Here is an 18901-nt window from a genome sequence, read left to right on the forward strand (position 1 = left end):
GAAATGGAAACAGTTTTTCAACAGAATATGGTAAATGCTAAGATATATGAGGTTATGCAGGGTACGTATGAAGATACATAAAGGTGTATGTATAAAGGGAAGAAAAGGAAGAGCCCTGAAGCACTGAGGGAAAGCTTTTGAATGCCTGATGAGAGTCACCAGGCATAAATGAAAGTTTTGTAAAGTAATATGTTCAGAAGAACTGGGTGCAGTTTCATTTTGATGAATAATATGATGGGCTCTTGTGAGTGGAGGGAGATGAGGTTGGAGAGGCAGGTAAGTGGATGTGTGAGTTTGAATGCCAAGGGATAGAGTCATGGATTAGTATTTAGCAGTCACCTCAATGGGTGGACATTAAACCAAGGGAGAGAATGCTTTGGTTAGGGCTACTTGTTATATACTCATGAGCAGCTTGCAACCCTCTGCTGCAGCAGTCAACATCTTTCTGATCACTTGTTCAATGTCTTGACTACAAGCTCCACGGGGGCAGGAACTGGCTTGGCTTTATTCATTGTTGTGTCTCCAGGATCTTCCACGGTGCATACCTCTTGTAAACAATAGTTGTAGGTAATAATAACACCTTGAAGGTGTTGATTGAATTAATTTATTCATTTAAATTTTATTTTAGCATCTGCTATGTGCCAGGTACCATTCTATGTGCTGAGGATAGAATACTGAACCGACAGGTGTAGTCTCTGCTCTCATTATGCTCATATTCTAGTGGATGACACAGTTCAGTGAATACTAGACTAGGTAGTGATAGGGCTATGAAGAATAATAGTAAGGCTCAGTAAGGGAGCAGAGACACTGGGGCAGTGTGGGGGATGTTGGATATTCAACCTTCAATTTCATGTACTTTCTTTACAATACGTTCTCTTTTCCAGGGAAGATGGTTTTCTCAGTATTTTCTCAAAAGGAATATAAATAAAATTTTATATTCCACATATCCTTTCAAGAATCAGGCTGACTCATGACTATCAAGAAACCTTCTTTGACAGCCCACATTGATTTTTTGATGTATCTGGACCATGGAATTAAGCACAAAATTGCCCCACTTCTATTTTCATAGATGTTAACTTTTTCTACACAATAATATTTAAAGCTCCTTGAAATCAGAAAATGTGCATTACATGTCCTTTTAATTCCTCATGACACCTAGCATAGAGCTGAGCATGTAGTAGGTGCTTAATTAACCGAATTAATTAACCTAACTAACCTGCTGTTGATTTTCATGCGTTTCAATGCCCTCTGCACAAGTAGAATTTTAGTGGAGAAACTCTGTAGGATTTGATCCAAGTACTTTTTGAATTATGTGATAAGAAATAGTCTTGAAATGTCTATTTTTATTATTTTAAATAATTTTCTTTCAAATAATTTAACATTAACTCTGGAAATATCAAAATTGGCAATGTTTTCTATCAGTCATGAGAATAAGGATTTCACTGGAGAAAAACACTGTATTTTGATTTGAAAATATGAAGTCGGTAAGTGCACTGATATGAATAATAAATAACTGTAAAAGTGCCATGTTTAATTGCAAAGAAAAAACATGTTGGAACTTTGTTTCACTCTTTGATTATTCTGCTAGAAAATTTTATTTTCTTACATTATGGCTAAAAGTTCAAAATAGAAAATTATTTTTAAAGATTTTGTTATTTAAAAATAATGTTATTTGTTTAGGCTAGAATTAGTTAATTGGTAGTATCTGAATTGTGTAAAATTCATTCAGTGGAAATTTCTTACAAATATCAAGAATATGTCAAATTTAAAATATCAAATGTTAAAGAACTATAATATATTCTTTTTTATTCAAAAAAATAATTGTAATAGATTGCATTTTGCATTGGGTCTTTCTTTTCAGAAGTTGGTCATGAGAAATTAATCATTTTCTAATATACTGGCAAAGAAATAATATCACATAACTCTGGAGCTATATGGGAAATTAATATATCAAAAAACAGGATAAATGGGTAAACATTAAAAATCTGTAAACTGTACCACAAGGATGAATTTCCCAATTTAATTCATATTCTCAAAATGAAATATTGGCTTTAAAATTTGATTAAAAATAAAGAGTGCCCAAAGGAGTTTTGAGAAAATTGTAACTGGATGAATAACATCATTAGCATGAAACAGTTACCGTAACTCTGCAAACTGCTTGGTAGGGTGCCATCATTTTCACATGAAGTGGTGAGCCGTATTTAAAATATGTCCAAATTTTAACCTAAAATGAACTTGCTGAGATTTTGTAGGGAGACTGGAAGGCTGAGGCTTTGGGGTCAGGGAGACCAGCTCAGAAGCCACTGAAGGGATCATGGAAGTGACGGGAGCCAGTTTATAGGAAGAGAGATAGGGATGTGAGGAAGCAAAGATAACCCAGGAGACAGTGTGAAGAGGGAAATGGCAGAATTCAGAAAGTAGATTTCACACAGGCAATGAAAGATAGGGAGATGACTCCATACTGCCAGCCCAGAAGTTGGCAAGAATGGTACAACTACTGACACATACTGTGCGGGGAGGTGGGGTCACTTCTCACATACTTATAGGTTTTAGTTTCGGTGTGAACACAAACTGTCTTGTGAATGTAACAATGATGAATTCATGATGTCTGAAAAACTCTTTAGGAGCTCCAGGAATTATTTTGGGTTTGAATTATATGTATGTCTATGTATAATTAATTAACCATCAATGATTAGTGATACCTACTTGGGGGGTATGTTGGGTGGGGGCAGAGGCGGGGGGATGGGAGGCTTGTATTTTCGTGGTCACACACAACTCTATCAGAGTCTGCCAAACTTAATATTTGAGTGATTTCAGGGATGCTACTTAATCTTTCTGCATCTCACTTTTCTCCTCTGTAAAAAATGGAGATGAATATTAATATCTATCTGGCAGTGTTACCAAGAGGAATAAATGAAATAATGTAGCTGGAAGGCCTTACACAATGCCTACACATAAGACACTTTAAATGTTTGCTTTCCTTCCACATGTGGATACCACACAACAACAACAACAACAACAACAACAACAAACTCCCATCTTTCTCAATAGTTAAGGCTGCCTTCAGGATACTTACTCGTAGGTAGAACTCTCCATTTTCATTTCCAGATTTAATCCGAAAAGTATTGATGGTGTTGGCATAAATAGTTGTGGCCTGTATCTGGAAGATGTCTGATGGCACAGACCTATCAGATCGGATGCTCATGTATTTGTAGACTATTGACTGGGGCAGTTCTCGGCACATGGCATTTGAGACTGGGCAAACACATCGGCTGCAGAGACAAACAAAAGTATTCAGCAGTTTGGCTTGGTAAGACCAGAAAATCCTCACTTTCAAAAGTTCTGATTTTTCTTACTTCTCTGGTGTTAGAATGTAGGGATCTTGACAAGGATTTCGTGGATAACAACGGAAGCCGCCATGATAATTCCAACACATTTCATCCTCCCGGCATTCATTTGTGGTCTCACACTCATTTATATCTGTAGAGATGTAGGGTCAAAGAGTTTACTAACTAAACTAATGAACTGATCTAATTAAATCATATAACTGGCAGATTCTGTTTGCAAGGAAGGAGGTGTGAGAGCATCTGGACTGTGTTCAACCTGCTTTTAGACACAAGACTGGGTGTTCATTGTATTGAATTCAGGACAGACAGAGCTGAGACATTCTAGGCAGATTAATATGTGTCATTTCATGATATTTTATCAAGCACCTATTGTTCATCTGTTGAATTCAAACCCCAATGTTAACCACTGACTCTGCCTATATAAAAGTTAAACACCAGTTCTTGTCATCAGGGACATTATAATTGAGGGAATGTGTATATGATTACTTAGAAAGTAAAATGGAATTAAGTAAGAGATAGATAAGTATACTGGGGCATGTGGAGCAGAGTTGGGTAATTTTGCCAGGGGGATTAGGGAAGGCTGAAGGAAGGAAGAGGCATCTCAACGTGGCCTTGAAGGGTGGTGGTTAGATGGAGTTTTCATGGCTGGGGCAGGGAAGGCTTTCCAAGCTGAGAAATCAGGAAGCATAAACTATGGAGGGCAGCTTATCATCTCTTTCAGGAACTTGGGAGAAAGGTAAAGGCTAGAAATCTGGTTTCAGTAAGCTGAAGCATGCTGGGAGTGGATTATACTGTCCAGAGGAAGCACAGCACAGGAAGTGAAACTATGAAGTGTTCCACCTCATAGAGCATAGCAATTTTAGGACTGTAAGGAAAAAGAGGAAGTTAAGGAAGAGGCTGTCAGTGCAGGGAGACAACCCAGGAAAAGGCAATGCCAAAGAAGTCAGAGGGAGAGAGAATCCTGGGAAGAAGGGTTGTGTTTACCTCAGGCTGGACAAAGATTGACTTTAAATTTGGGAATCAGAAGCCTCCAGATGACATCTGAGAGAACAGTTTTACTAGAGAGCCATTACATTTATAACAACAACAACAACAACAATAAAAATAAAATTAATATCTACATCTCTATGTCTGTCTCCCTTTACATTTGAATAGTGATTTATATTTTATTCAATGTAAACTTTTTCTGAATCATTCCTTCTCCACAATGAGATATTTTTATTCATGAATTTACTCATTCCATAAGTAATTTACTGAATCCTTGCTGTAAGCCAAGCATGGGCTAGGTGCTGGGATATGATCTCTTTTGAATTCTCATACCCGGTGTTCTTTTTTAAGGGCCTTTATTGCTTTCTGCTTTGCATTATTGCAATCTGCATGTCTAGCTTAACCCTTCTATTAGCTTGTAAACTCCTTGAGGGCAAGGGTTATTGTACCCATCTTTTAATCCTTTCATCACCTAGCATTAATGCAATAGAGCATCTGGCTTTTAAGAAATATTAAATTGAACTAAGTTGCTCTTCACACAAACTGTGTGGAGGTAGGTGAGAAAGATATTTCCACTTGATATGGATGAAAAACAAATAAGGGTTTAGTGGCTCATTCAAGTTCATATACTCTAAATAATTCATGCCTTGACTTTGGAGGAAAAAAAAGTATTTTAGCTTCCAAACTGGCTAAAGTTATCTGGAACTCAAGAACAGACTGGGAAAGCTAGGTAGTCTCCAAGAGACAGTTACAAAAAGTGTCTTCTTGGGCTGGCTATGGCTGAAGAAAGAAAACTTAGATTCTTCAAATGAAATCACAATTGACTTATCCTTTCAGTATTTTCCACTTTTTTGAAGAATAAAGATGCTGTTTAGGTACAGGGAAAACTAATACTTATTTGTTATATGGAGTCCAACAGAAGCAAAAGACAACCTTATAATTTCATTTATTACTTCCATTAATGTAGAGCCTAGCATAATCATCACCTTAATCATTCTGGAAGATTTTTCAGAAATTAATACTCTCAAAATATTTGATGAGTGTGTGTCTATGTGTATGTGTATTCTTTTGTCTCTCTGTCTCTCTCTCCACACACACACACACACACACACACACACACACACAGTTTTCATTTGTATAGGCCTGTGAAATGAGAACAGTTATTTCATCCACAAAATAAGTCTTTTAGAGAAAGTTAAGAATCCAAAACTTTCAATTTCATTTTATTCCTGTGGACAAGGCTCAGAAGGAACGATTTCCGTAGGAGAAAGCAATTGCTTTATACTTTAGAAGAATGCTAAGTCTTTTTCACAAAAAATGTTTTGGCTTAACCAAACATTCTGAAGCTGCATATCTTCAATATATAACATTTAGGAATCCCCCACTTACAATTTTGGTGCATTTTCCACCTTTAATTACAATAGATATAAATGTTTCCACATAGATAGGCTAGGCAGGTCGGATCCCACCGTGCATTAATCTGCTTCTGTCTTTTGCTGAGCATCAAATCAATTTTTGATCAGAAACACATAGATATTTGTTTGAAGGACTCCAGAGAAATTTGTTAAGACATTCCACTAGCTAACATTTTCTTGCATGTAATATGCATGTTGAAAGTCTCAATTAGGGTTCAGTAAGTAAAATCATTGGAATGCAATGTTTTCCCATAATTAACATTTATAAAGTCTCTAGTAACCTGGAAAGGGTTATAAAGATGTTCATTGTGCAATGAACTACATTCTGATTATGCTCATACTCAGTGGTTGGAGTCTAGTCGAAAAATTGTGTGCCTATTATAAAATCCCAGGTAATGGATTTCCTCTAAGTTAATATTTTCCTGTAAAATCATGATATAGACTGAGAATCCCCAGTGTCTCCTTTCCTTGATCTTTCTTTTCTTAACAGGATCTTTATTGTCCTTGTGTGCCTTCACTCCAACTCTGATTAAAAAGGACTCTCTACAGAAGACGTACTACTGGTCACTTACATTGGTAAGTAAATTTCATAAAAACACCTTGACCTGTACAAGCTTTATAGTTTACAAATTATTTTTATGTATGTTATTCCACTAAATTCCCACAACTCCCTTTTCCAAATGAGGAAGCTGAGGCTCAGAGTAGTTTGATAATTTGTTCAAGATTGTGCAGACTGAATACAGTGGAGCTGGGATTCAAACAGGTTTTCTGTCAAGTTTGGTCATTTTTTCATTCTTTTGTTGCTTTGTGTAAATTTAAGTGTTTGTACTAGCTTTTCCAGGATTTTCTACGTTTTTGGTTTTATCTGACAGTCCTTTCCCTGTTAAGAAAATTTTCAACTACATGCAACATTGGAGGTAGGGTCCTTTTTTTTTTTAGATCTTCCTGAGAAACTCTGAAATCATACCATTGTGGGGAGCTGCCTCTTCCACTTACGTATAGGTGTGAAGATCATCTGAATGTTTATTTTGAAACTGGACCCAAGGTCATTAGCTATTTTGGGGCTAGTAGTTTTCTCTAAAATATTCAACTATATTTTACAACATATTAGGCTGACTTTTCTCAGCACCTACATTCTTACGCAATTTATAATCCTTGTGTTTTAGAGGGCTAAGACTGGATGGAGGTATGTTTAACTCACATATTGAGCTTATGCTCTAAACTCAAACTCACAGGTGAAACATTTTAATAACTGAATCTTTTCCAGTGGATGATTTGAAGATGTATCTCAAAGAGATGATGTAGGTTACATAGAATACATATCAATATTTTATTAAAATTATTTATCTTTTAAGGACGAAAAATGTCGGCATTAGCATAGAATCACCTCTTTATGAGATGTATATATTTTATGATGAACAGGGGAAAAAAGAGCTTAAATTGTATATTGAAAGTGGGAAAAATGAAAGTCTATAGGAGAATCCTATAACTTCCTCTTGTCTCTTCCTGGCTAAAACTAAATACCTAACATATGAAAAAAAAAATAAACTTACCTTGACATGTTCTACTTCTCACCACTTGGTATCCCTGGGGGCACATACATGAGAATTTCCCAGGTTCATTGACACATTGATATTGACACAGGTAGCTTGAGGTTCTGCATTCATCAATGTCTGTTGAATTAGACAAGAGAAAGGACACAGAGTTGAAAAGTTTGTGCACCACTACTTTGGATATATATATATATATAAATTATATATATATATAAATTATAAGATTTAAAATATCTATATTAAAATAATTATATATAATTAAAATTATTTATATTTTAAGGAGGAAAAATTATATCTACCTATATATATATAAAGAGATCTGGCTTCTTGTCCTATTCCTGCTACTGTGTGACTTGGGCACATTTCTTAAGTTGCCTGGGTTTCATATATACACACACACACACACACACACACACACACATATATATTTTTTTTGTTCTGCTCAACAGTCCAGAGGAAGTAATACACTTTTGAGGTGAGCTAAAGAGAGTAAAAATATTGCAAATTCTGAAATAGAAATACAAAACTTTATAAGCAGCTAAAAGGCAAATTCTAACAATATCAGCTTATTTCCCTCTATGACTTCATAGCACAAAAAGTTTTTCTTATCATGACTTTTACTGAATCATTGCTGACAATTTGGCTAATCCTGGACCTAACTACACTACTGAATGAATTGGCTTGTGGTTGACGGCCTTCATTTTGGACTCTGCAGACCCATCCAGGATGTAGAGTTCATGTTTGTCTTCTCAGAAATTGGGTGACTTTGAAGCCAAGTTCATTTGAGCTTTGAATGCCAAGTCCCCTAACCTGTGCAAGCTTCCAGAATGACAGCTTGGCAGGATCTGACTTTCAGGGGAAGAATGCTTTGCATTTCTGAATAGTGATGTCCCTACAGTTTACTCAGAAGGGCAGAGGCAGCTGTCCTGAGGTAGCCTCTTTCAGTTTTGAGTGTAATGGCATGATGTGAGGCCTCTCTCGGTGGGGTTTGAGCTTTGTGTAAAGCTGAGTGAACCGTGAGGAGGTCAGGGACATCAAGTGTCTGTGGCATCCCCCTCAGGATGTCTAATGCCTTTTGAATTATATAACGAAATGTGCACATGCAATGGACCCTGAAGGTCATGAATCTAGTTAAATGGCCCTCCTCTTGTTCATGTGGAAAGTGAAACCCAGGCAACTCAAGAAATGTGCCCAAGTCACACAGTAGCAGGAATAGAACCAGAAACCAGATCTCCTGATTTTTATTTTAATGTTTTGACATGCACTTGGCTATTCTGAAACTTAAATGTGCACACCAGTCACCTGCAGTTTTTGTTGAATGTAGATTCAGACTCAGGAGGTCTGGGTTGCAGCCTGAGATTCTGCATTTCTCATAAGCTCCCAGGAGGTGCTGACATACCTGGTCACTGGATAACACACTGAGACGCAACATGCTAGAGCACCCTTTCTAATTATTAGAGCCAGCCTGCACCTAATATTTCAGTTATTTTTATTTCTTTTCCTTTTTCTTGGTAACACACTAAAAAGGCAATGTAACAACTGAACTACATTAACTGGATTTTAGAACAGAATTCCCATGGGTAAGCGTTTGTTTTCATAAATGGGTACATAATCAGATAAAACAACAGCAGTCACAGGAATTGGACTTTATTCCATACTATCTGGGAAGAGTTTTACCTTCACAGTTGAGCCTGTCACTGCTTAGCTCATATCCTTGATTGCACTGACAGATGAATGAACCAAGAATGTTGTAGCACTGCTGAGCACATTGATTGCTGGCATCACATTCATTTATATCTGAAAAAAAGTTTTATATATATATATATGTATATGTATATATATACACACACATATATATATAGACTTTAAACATATCCTTACTCTTTTGTACCTACGTCATCTGCTGACAAGTGAGTAATTCCCTAGCTGAATTATTTGCCCTGCAGAAGCTCACTGGAGAACATCCATTTAGGTTTCATATTTGTTGGAACAACTACAAACGTCTGTCATATACTTCTTTTGGAAATACCGAAATATTTTTTCTAGGAATGACAGTTAGTTTGATGTTTGATGAATCTTTCCAAAGGAATTTAATGCTTCTAATAAATATACACTCCGGTATCGATTTTCTTTTGTTGTTCAGATACAAAATGCCAATTCTATAAATAATTGATATAAGACACTTATACTGATATGGTCTCTCAGCATGCTGTACTGAAGATTTATCTGTGCTATTTATTACTTTTTAAATGGGTTCTGTTAAATTCCATTACAATTATAACATAAGCCTTTGAGACCCATACGGAGTTTTGCAATGCTCTAAAGCACTGAAAATATTGTGAAAAGGCATTTTTCCTACACTAGATTTTTTCCATGTCATGCCAATCTTTTAATTGTGTGCCGTGACATTGCATTCTGAAAGGGGAGAAGAGGCATGTAAAAATCAGATGCACTTTCAGTGGAAAGTTTATATACTTGAACTTGTAGTAACCCCTTTGGCACTTTCAGCATTATATCACACACTGCTGATTGACTGGTGTATGTATATCAATTGATTTGTAGTTTTAAATTTGTTGATCTATCCACAGAGGAGAACTAAAACCAAAGTTAAAAAGTTTTCTGTTCACATCTTGATGTGTTTTAAGACACAGATTGGTTATTATCTTTTAAGCTTTATGATTGCTGAAGGGAAGTCGATGGAAACTATTTACTCAAGAACATAGAAAACTGGAAATACTGCAACATGGCATGGGGTTTCCTTTTGTGAAGACAGAAATCAGCAAGTTCTCAAAAGGCTTACCTACGCAGGTATAGTTGTTTGCTGCCAATTGAAACCCAGGACTGCACTGGCAATAAAATGAGCCTGGTGTATTCACGCATCTTTGGTGGCAATATGGAGGGATGGTACATTCATCTATGTCTAGGTTATCAGGCACACACACAAAGAGAACCAAATTATTGAATTAGCATTCTCTGAAAAGCATTATCTAGAAAACCTATGTAGAGAAAATCTCTTTTTAAAAGTAATAATTTCCTATTTTGTTAAAATTAGGGTATATGTATTTTAAATATACTTTGTATTCTGAGTTAAGAAGTTAAGAACAAAGACTCAATGTTCATGCCATTCAGTGGTAAATAAACTTGGTGGGTGGATTGAGATTTAAAGAAAACAAAATAATTGAGACTATTGCATATATATATAAGATGTCAGTTTGGGGAGCTAAAAGCTTATATATAATTACAGAAGTAAAAAAGAACTACTGAAGTGCATGGTGCAGCACAAAACAAAGAAGAAAGAGTTGTGGGCTGTGCTCAACTGGTGACCTTGGCTAAGTCACTTACGCCTTCAGTATCTTGGTTTTTCTTCTATAAGATGTGGATAGCAAGGCTTGCCATGTGTATCTTAGGACGTTTTTGTGTATCAAATAAAAGAACACTGTGGAAGAATTGGATGCTAAATAAGTTACCTCTTGAGAGTGCTCTTTTGACACTTTGATGAAGTGTTCCAGCCTGTGTCCTTCTCATATAAATATTTTCAACTATAAAATGCTCAACTAAGAACTTGCTAAGTAGGACTAACATCTTAGAAGCATAATAAAATTTCATTAATTCATGATTCTACACTTTGTGACAACTTCAACATGGCATGTGTAATTTAAAACAACCATTATGCATATACAATGTAATGCTATATAGTGACACTGCCTTGTGGTAAAACAAAACAAAACAAAACAAACCTTTATGCTGGGCTCTTTTGGTACTTTAATAACTAAAATTAAGTAGTGTGCTCAAGTGGCCTCAGGATAACCTGAGTCTGAATCTTTGTTCTGGCAATTACTAGCTTGGTCTTAACTTCTCGAGCTTGCATTTCCTCTTCTGTGAGTAGAATTATTGGGAGGGTTACAAGACATAATGTAGGCAAAGTTACTGGCACAAAGCAAGTAAACATAAATGGGAGCTAATAAGCTGCAAGATATATTTGATTTAACTTGAATACTGAAATAAATAGTAAGAAGATATTCACATGGCTTTTCCCCTTACTTTGGTTCAGGTGTCCATTCAAATGTCACCTCCTCAGGGTGGCCACCTTTCCCACCAATATCAAATAGGTTCTTCTGCCCTATCTATTCCCTTACCTTGCTTTAGACTTCTTTGTAGTCCTTAACAGTACTCGACATTGTGTTATGTGTTTATTTGCTTCTTGTGTGTTCCCTCACTATAGTGCATGACATTCTCCCCTTGAGGTGGAGGTAGAGGGTTTTTTGTCTGTTCATTGTTAGATCTGGAATAGGGCCTGGCATAGTAGTAGGTGTTCAATAAACATTATTCGAATAAATCGAAACTTCACACTAATTAAGAGCAATTTTAGCATAGTGCTTCCTAGTCCTCAGTACTATCATCAGGTGCTAGTATTGATAGCTAATTTGTATGAATGGTATTATACTTTCTAATAGCTCCACGAGGGCTATGAATTTGTAAAATTTGTTTACTATTATCCCAGTTCCTAGAACAATGCTTGTTACACAGTAAGCCCTCAATAACTATTTGGTGAATATGTGACGCATGTCTTCTTAACTAATAAACATTCATTGAACCATTCTTATTTGCTGGTACTGTGTTTGGCACCCCAAGTTTATAATGATAATCAGTATACATGTGTTCTGCCTTGTCTGGTATGAAAGACAGGCATGAAACAAATTATTCCATGGAATGAGAAGATCAACAATAGAAAGGAGTGTATGGGACACAGGGAGCACCATGCTACTTGAAGTGTGGCCTGCTGACTGCTGCTGGTTCATGGGCTATTTGGACCAGTCTGCAATGAATAAATACAGAAACTGAGAGTACATGTTTAGAAATAGCAATTTGACATTAGTGCAACATTATTTTTATTGTGCTTTACAGAAGTATTGGTCTGCCGTAGATTGGAAATTTACAAAAAAGTATCCTTCATCATAATTTGAGAAGTACTGGCACAGGGGAGGAGCAACTAATTATATTTGGGTAAATCATAGCAGGCTTCCCAGAGGAAGTGATCCTAAGCTAGGATTTGACAGTGAAATAAGAATTTGCCAGGAGGGAATGTTTTTGTTGTGTAAAGAGCTTGTATAGAGGCACCAAAGTGTAAGTAACACTGTGTGACGTGTGTGGGGAACTGGTGGAATAAAGCTGGGGTGTAATATTTTGTGGTGGGGGAGAGGTGTTTATGCAACAGAACTGGACAATGATCAGATTGAGCAAGACCTTTCATGCTCTGTCGAGGAATGTAGACTTGATTCTCTCAGTGAGGGAAGCAGGAGGGGAAGACACATGATTAGATCTGAGTTTAGGAATATTTCCTCCTACCACATTAAAAGGGCTGTGACCGTATGTTCCATTATCTTTGATTCACCCCACACTAAGTTGGATTAGTTCTTTTTTCTGTACTTTTTATGCCCTCAAATATTTATTTTCCTGTCTAATACAATGGCCAAACTTTGTTATCTCTGGAGTTTTCTACACACTCTTCTTTTAAATCACAGCTTCATTTATAGCAAACCCTGGGCCTTCCTCAGAGGCTGGGCACTAACCCCAGCATCTAGGCACAGCCCTATGGCAGACAGAACTGGGCTGGGGCCCACATGGAACTCAGTGTTGACATGTGAACATCAACAGCTCACATTCTCAGGCGAAAACTGACGCTGGTTGTCTGTCCCCACATCCTCACCCTCTGTTCCTAAGAGGAAATAAGGCTTTTTCACTGATCTGTGGTAAGAAGGGGTATGTAAATAAATGGACAGTCAGAGTTTCATGCCTAGTGCTGGGCCTCATGATTGAGCCCAGAGTACTGTATTTTACTTCACTATCTGCCAGTTGGCTTCCTCATACTTTGATCTTCCATTCACTCAAAACACACGCATAGAGCCTCCATCACATGGTGGGCACACTTCAGGGACTGGGGAGACCACAGTGACACAAGATGACCTGGTCTTGCTGTCAGGGAGCTCACGCTCTTAGGCCCTCCAGCAGAGGCACGTGCTGAACTTGGCTTTGTACTCATGGTACCCTACAAAGGCTTGCAGTATAAAGAGCCTTTAATACCCATCTGTTGACTCAGAATACAACGATAGCAAACAGCTTTACTGCACAGGGACAGGCACTATTCTAAGCATTCCCTACATGAGCTCTGGAGGTAGGGCCTAGTATCATCTCCACAGTACAAGTGAACATAGTGAGACACAGGATTTAAGTAACTTGCTCAAGGTCTCAAAGCGAGCTGGGGTTGGTGCTTGGAATGCAACTCCACCATTTGCTCTATGTGCTGTGCTATGCTATGCTCTGCAGCAGTGAATGGTGAATGAAGCCCACAGTACCAGTGTGTTAGCGCGATGGCCCCCAAAACAGCAAATTTAAATTTTTTTGTGGTTGTTTTTATTGTCCCATTCATACCCCAAATTTCTGCTCTTGCTTCGTCTAACATTTAACCAACACTTTGTTATCCAGAATAGCTCAACCTTTAAGGTTGTTTCTTGTTATTGTGGAAAATGGATTGGTAGTCTATAAAAAAATAAGGAATTATTGGCTACCACTCTCCAAAGAAACATGAATGCTTTGATTGGAATGCTTGAGGTTGAAACAGTTAAGGTACTCAAGACAGGACCGTGCTCACTGCACTGTGGTACTTACCTACGCACTGCTCCCCTCGCTTCTGATATCCAGGAGGGCACTGACATGCAAAGGATCCCCGTAAATTGATGCACACTTGGTCTGCTCTACAGTTGTGCGTCCCTGCAGTGCACTCGTCTATGTCTGTCAGAGACATGCAACACAGAAAGAATTGTCAGTTGTGAAGATGTTGATATTTCCTCCATTTTGCCACTTCTTAAGCTAAATTTTTACTTTATTCTTAAAAGTTTATAATGTTCTTGCATTGGAAATGTTTAAAATTATAAATTATTTCAAGTGTTCAGAAAATAATTTTGCAAATACCAGTGAGTACTGCTCAGATTTAACAAATGCTAACATTTTGTCATGTTGGTCTTGGCTCATTTTGTTTTGTTAAGAAACATTTCAGATACAGCTAAAGCCTCACACCATCCTCATCCCTTGACCCATCAGCTACCACTGTCTCGGTAGGAATGAATCCTTCCCTGAGATGTTTTTGTACTTTTGTTAGACAGGGATGCATCCATTAGAACATATGGTATTGTTTTGTATGTTAAAAATTTTAATAGATTGTATGATACTTGCTTTTCCATCCAATATATTGTATTTGAGATAATTTCCATTGACAAATTTCTAAAAATCTAACCAATAACTGGGTGTAATCAACCTTTAATATTATACGTTCCCTGTAGCTGTTTGTTTTTGCAAACAGCAGGGCAACATGTATGTATAAATCTTTCATTGCAAATTTCAGAATGCAAAGGATTCAATTTGATCATATTCCTCTAGCCTGTGTAGTTTAAAAATCCATATTTTCTCAAAGCAGTGTACTTCTTGGAATAATTTACTAAATGTGCCTTAATGAGTATGCAGGTTACAGTTCTAGAAAAGTAAAAAATGCTCAGTGATAGCATAATGAACTAGTTATAAGAAATTTCTTTCAGATCAAAAGGTGATATAAATTTGTGTGTGTACATTCATATTTACAGTAATTTATAAGTAAAATCTAATTTTGCCTTATCTGTATCACTTTTATATTCATTCGGCTCTCCTATATCATGAAGTTAAGTAGTACACAAAAAAGGATCATATAATTTCATCATTCTTCAACAACCACTCTAAGCTTCATTAACAATATCATAAAACTTGTGATTCCTAGATGACAATTTTTGTATAAAAACCAAAATACTACCCTGGGTCTACCACAGTGATGATTTAAGACCCCTGAGGCAGATTTCAGAGGTCTTAGATCATCACTGTGGCAGACTCATGGTAGTATGTTGGAAGAAAAAGTAGGGAAAGAATCAATAATAAAAAATTCACCCAATTTCTGTCTTCCCTCTAAGAATCTCTGAGAGTAGACCCTGAGGTTGGTTTGCCTTTCACTTTTCTGTATTTTCAAGGAGGACTGCGCATTTACACTATGCAGTATAATAATATATGAAGTTGAGATTGTAAAAGGGTTGTCCTCAGAAATCAGCTTCACTTAGCTGGGTGTGGAAATGATAAGAGAGATTCTTTCGATAAGAAAGAGGGAGGGGAGATGAAAAATACTTGAGTGATGTATGGCTATTTATTGGATAATAATCTATAAAGCATCCACTTACGTAATTCTTTGAACTTGGTTTTAAAGTTTTGGCTAAGGTTTTTGTTATTTTGTTTTGTTTTGAAATTTATTATAATTACTACTAGTATTATTTTCAAGTCAGTGATTACAAACTGTCCTTTTTAGGTACTATGCGATGGTGCAACAATCCTGCTTTGAAATTATCTGCTGTTTTTTGTGTCTTTTATTATTTTCTCAGATGCACTTGATGAAAACCTTTTTACTGGGGTTTCTTCAGAGCTTTATGACTCGTTAATGCAGAAATGACAGCAGAGTATCTATTGTTTTATGTCAAGAACATTTGCCAGCATTTGCAGTGATAACAGTCCTGAGAGATACGGCAATGTTAGATTCAGATGTGGCAAGTTTCCTCTGGCAGCAGATCAAGGCCCTGGGCTGGCTGCTGCATTTTCTAAGGGAGGCCTCAGCAGTGACTGAGGCTTTTCTTTTTGACATCTATCTGCAAACTGCCTCCACCCCGCTGCATTCCTACAACTGATGCCCTATGACTTCCTTCCTACTTTCTTGTTGCTCATTTCTTAGTGTCTGATAAATAGGCTAACATTTCCAGTGGAATTAATGTATCATTAAGTAGATTTTAAACACAAAAACCTGTGCTACTCCTTCTTAAGAATGAGGTCTGTTTACCTTCTGAGTGGGTTATTTAATAAAAATATTAGGTGAGTTAAATTAATAAAAACAAACAACAACAAAAAACAAATACCACTGTGCTCACTGCCACTACTTTCCTTCCCTTTCTCCACCAACACCCAAACAAAGCTGCAACAAGACTTGCCTCACCTAGGACTGACTGGTGATTACACATTTTACTTACTGGGACTCATAAAATTGTCAAAAAAGTGACCTCTGTGACCAGGAGGCAGCTACTAACTACATTTCCATTTATGGCTTCTCTGGCTGTGGTTTAGAATATTTATCCTCTCCTTTGCTGTTGGTGGTTTATCTAATGCTAAAGGCTATAAACAGACTGAATTTCTTTGACCTATTTTCAATTACGTTAATGTCAATTTATTAGTTTATTTAAATAACACAATATTATTTTGAAAATTATACTTTGAGATCCTGGAATTACTTATTTACACATCTATGCAAAGTCATATAAAATTATTATACATTGTTAAATTCCGTTATGTTTGGCTTTTCTACTTCTATGCATTTCCATTTGTCATAAATACCAGAAAGCTCACTATGATACAAAATTTACTAAAATGGACAATGATGTCAGAAACTCAAAGCAGAATACCCATCCCTGTGCAGATGCTCTGGAAAAGGTGGCTCTCCCAGGAGTGTTGATGACAGTCCACTGCCCTCTACTTGCTCCTGACTTCCCATAGTGCAAACACAGCCTTTTGTAGGTATCTCCATGGTGTGTAAGAAAAATCTGTTTCCTACATTTGTATGGGAGAATATCTGCATTAGCAAAAGCAATGCTTTATTTATAAGGGAAACTACTCAGGTCAGCCATGATTTTCCTGATAATCTAGGACAAATTACTATGGGGAGAAATTTTTTGTTGTTTTTGCATGATTATAATTTATCCTTGACAGTTAAGCTCACTTGGTTTTTCAGGCAGTCAGTTAATAAATTTCCTGGGACCTGGACCCAAGCTCTTTGGGTGGGGATGGGGGATCTATGTCTTATTTTCCCCCCTGTATTCCCAGTGCCTAGGATAGTGCATGAAACATGGTGGATTTTCAATAAATATTTGTGCAATAAATGGATAAATGAGTTATTACCATTTGCTGAGAATTGGTACCTAAAGTTTCAGGAAAAGTAGGATCAGTGTTTTACCTAATGGAGCTAAAAATGTATGAAGCAGAGTAACAAGGTATATCTGAGAAACACAGCAAAATCAGTAAGATGTTAGTAAAAGAAAAATGATGTTGAGCAAGTGAGTCCAGGAGTGCAGAGGCTATGAGGTATAAAGCAGATTCGCCAGAAGAGGTGGGTTCTCCACTGCATTTTGAAGAAGACGAGATACATGGGTTGCCAGGAAAAGGAAGCTGTTTCTAGGCAGAAAGCAGCTCACATTAGAAAATGCTGATAAGACAAAACTGGTTTCCATGAGAAGAATGGCAGACAGATGGCGTCAGCACAGCTGCCGGGGCTCTGTGTGAGGAGCCTGGTGCAGTGCCTGGTTGAAGAGGATCATGAAATGCTAGATCTGTCGTGAACAAAATTCAAGGCCTTAAAGGCAGGATTAGAGAGTCTGGATTGAACAACATAAGGAGTCTCTCTGAACTATGTAGACAGAGCCTAATGTTAACATTACCAAAGAACAAAATAATAGATTGTGCTTCCTAAAATACCATAACACATTTCGTCATTCTAATACATTAACAATAGCTAATGGCAATATTTGGTGATTCCCTCATTTTTCAAAAATGTGCCCACGTGCTCCCTCCTAGTGATTTATACTATTGTAGGTCCCTCTCTTGCTGACTTTGGCACCGTTAGTTGCTTTAAATAACACAGGCTAATCTTTGCTCAGCTCTTCTAGCCTCTTTATCACACCGACCCCCACGTCTAGGGAACCGCACATTTGATTTTCTCTCAAAGTTAATGGAGACAACTTTGTCCACATCTCTGTGGTGTCCATTAAGTCCCTGCTTAGGCCCTCATTCTCTATGTTTTTGGCTCCTTCCCTTCAGTCTGACTCATATTTCCCAAACCCCTGACTCATGCTGCTTTCTCTCTCTTATGCAACATTTTAATCTCTGCAATGTTCTTTCCATAATTTGATAACTTACCACAACATGGAGTCCCTTTAGCATGTTTTCATGGGCAAAAATTATCTGCACCTTGAATGGTGTTGAGTACCATTTAGACTTTTATAATTTGTGCTGCTTTTGGTTTAAGAAATAATTTAGAACTACTTTTGAATAAGCCACTGTAGACTAGTGATGAGAATGCACTAGTAATAGGACAAAGAAGACTGAAATTATTTTGAATCTGTCACTCCCTGTGTGATCTAGGGTCATGGTATCAATTTTTTCTCTTTGTTTCTCCATCTCTGAAATAGAGAGTCTATCCTCAACAATAACACACAGATTTTTAAAAGTATTCAGATTCTTCACAATATACTTTTTTTGTTTCCAGACTGTAAACCCCTGGAGTAAAATAACCGTATCTTTACTAGTTCTGTGTGGGGCACTGTGCATGCTTTGCAAATATTATTTAATGGTGCTATCCTGTGAACTCTTGTGGTTAAAGAAAAGATAGTGGTTAAATTCAAGTTGGTGATACTTCTTGATCTGTGTGGATTTAAAACCTTATTATACCTAGCTTCCTCAATCAAACTGATTTAATCTCATAAATGGAGTAAAG

The 18901-nt window shown here is 37.0% G+C and overlaps 1 protein-coding gene and 1 long non-coding RNA gene across 5 annotated transcripts in view; one reads left to right on the forward strand and one right to left on the reverse strand.

The window, feature by feature from the left end:
• Positions 1 to 10042, forward strand: part of LOC112268416 (uncharacterized) — a 53528-nt gene extending 43486 nt beyond the window's left edge. Inside the window, exons 3-4 of the long non-coding RNA XR_002959388.2 lie at positions 6240 to 6325; positions 9974 to 10042. This is a non-coding gene — a long non-coding RNA (uncharacterized LOC112268416). The remainder of the gene's footprint in view (positions 1 to 6239; positions 6326 to 9973) is intronic.
• Positions 1 to 18901, reverse strand: part of EFEMP1 (EGF containing fibulin extracellular matrix protein 1) — a 57816-nt gene that overhangs the window by 1677 nt on the left and 37238 nt on the right. For 2 of the 4 annotated variants that reach the window (NM_001039349.3, NM_001039348.3), the window contains 6 exons: positions 13969 to 14091; positions 10103 to 10222; positions 8980 to 9099; positions 7303 to 7422; positions 3357 to 3480; positions 3077 to 3272 (listed from right to left, as the gene is read on the reverse strand). In NM_001039349.3, the coding sequence (NP_001034438.1) occupies positions 3077 to 3272; positions 3357 to 3480; positions 7303 to 7422; positions 8980 to 9099; positions 10103 to 10222; positions 13969 to 14091 (803 nt within the window). The remainder of the gene's footprint in view (positions 1 to 3076; positions 3273 to 3356; positions 3481 to 7302; positions 7423 to 8979; positions 9100 to 10102; positions 10223 to 13968; positions 14092 to 18901) is intronic. The other 2 variants (XM_017003586.3, XM_005264205.5) reach the window with 1 other exon arrangement.

Source organism: Homo sapiens, chromosome 2, assembly GCF_000001405.40.
Source record: "Homo sapiens chromosome 2, GRCh38.p14 Primary Assembly".
NCBI classification, from domain to species: domain Eukaryota; kingdom Metazoa; phylum Chordata; class Mammalia; order Primates; family Hominidae; genus Homo; species Homo sapiens.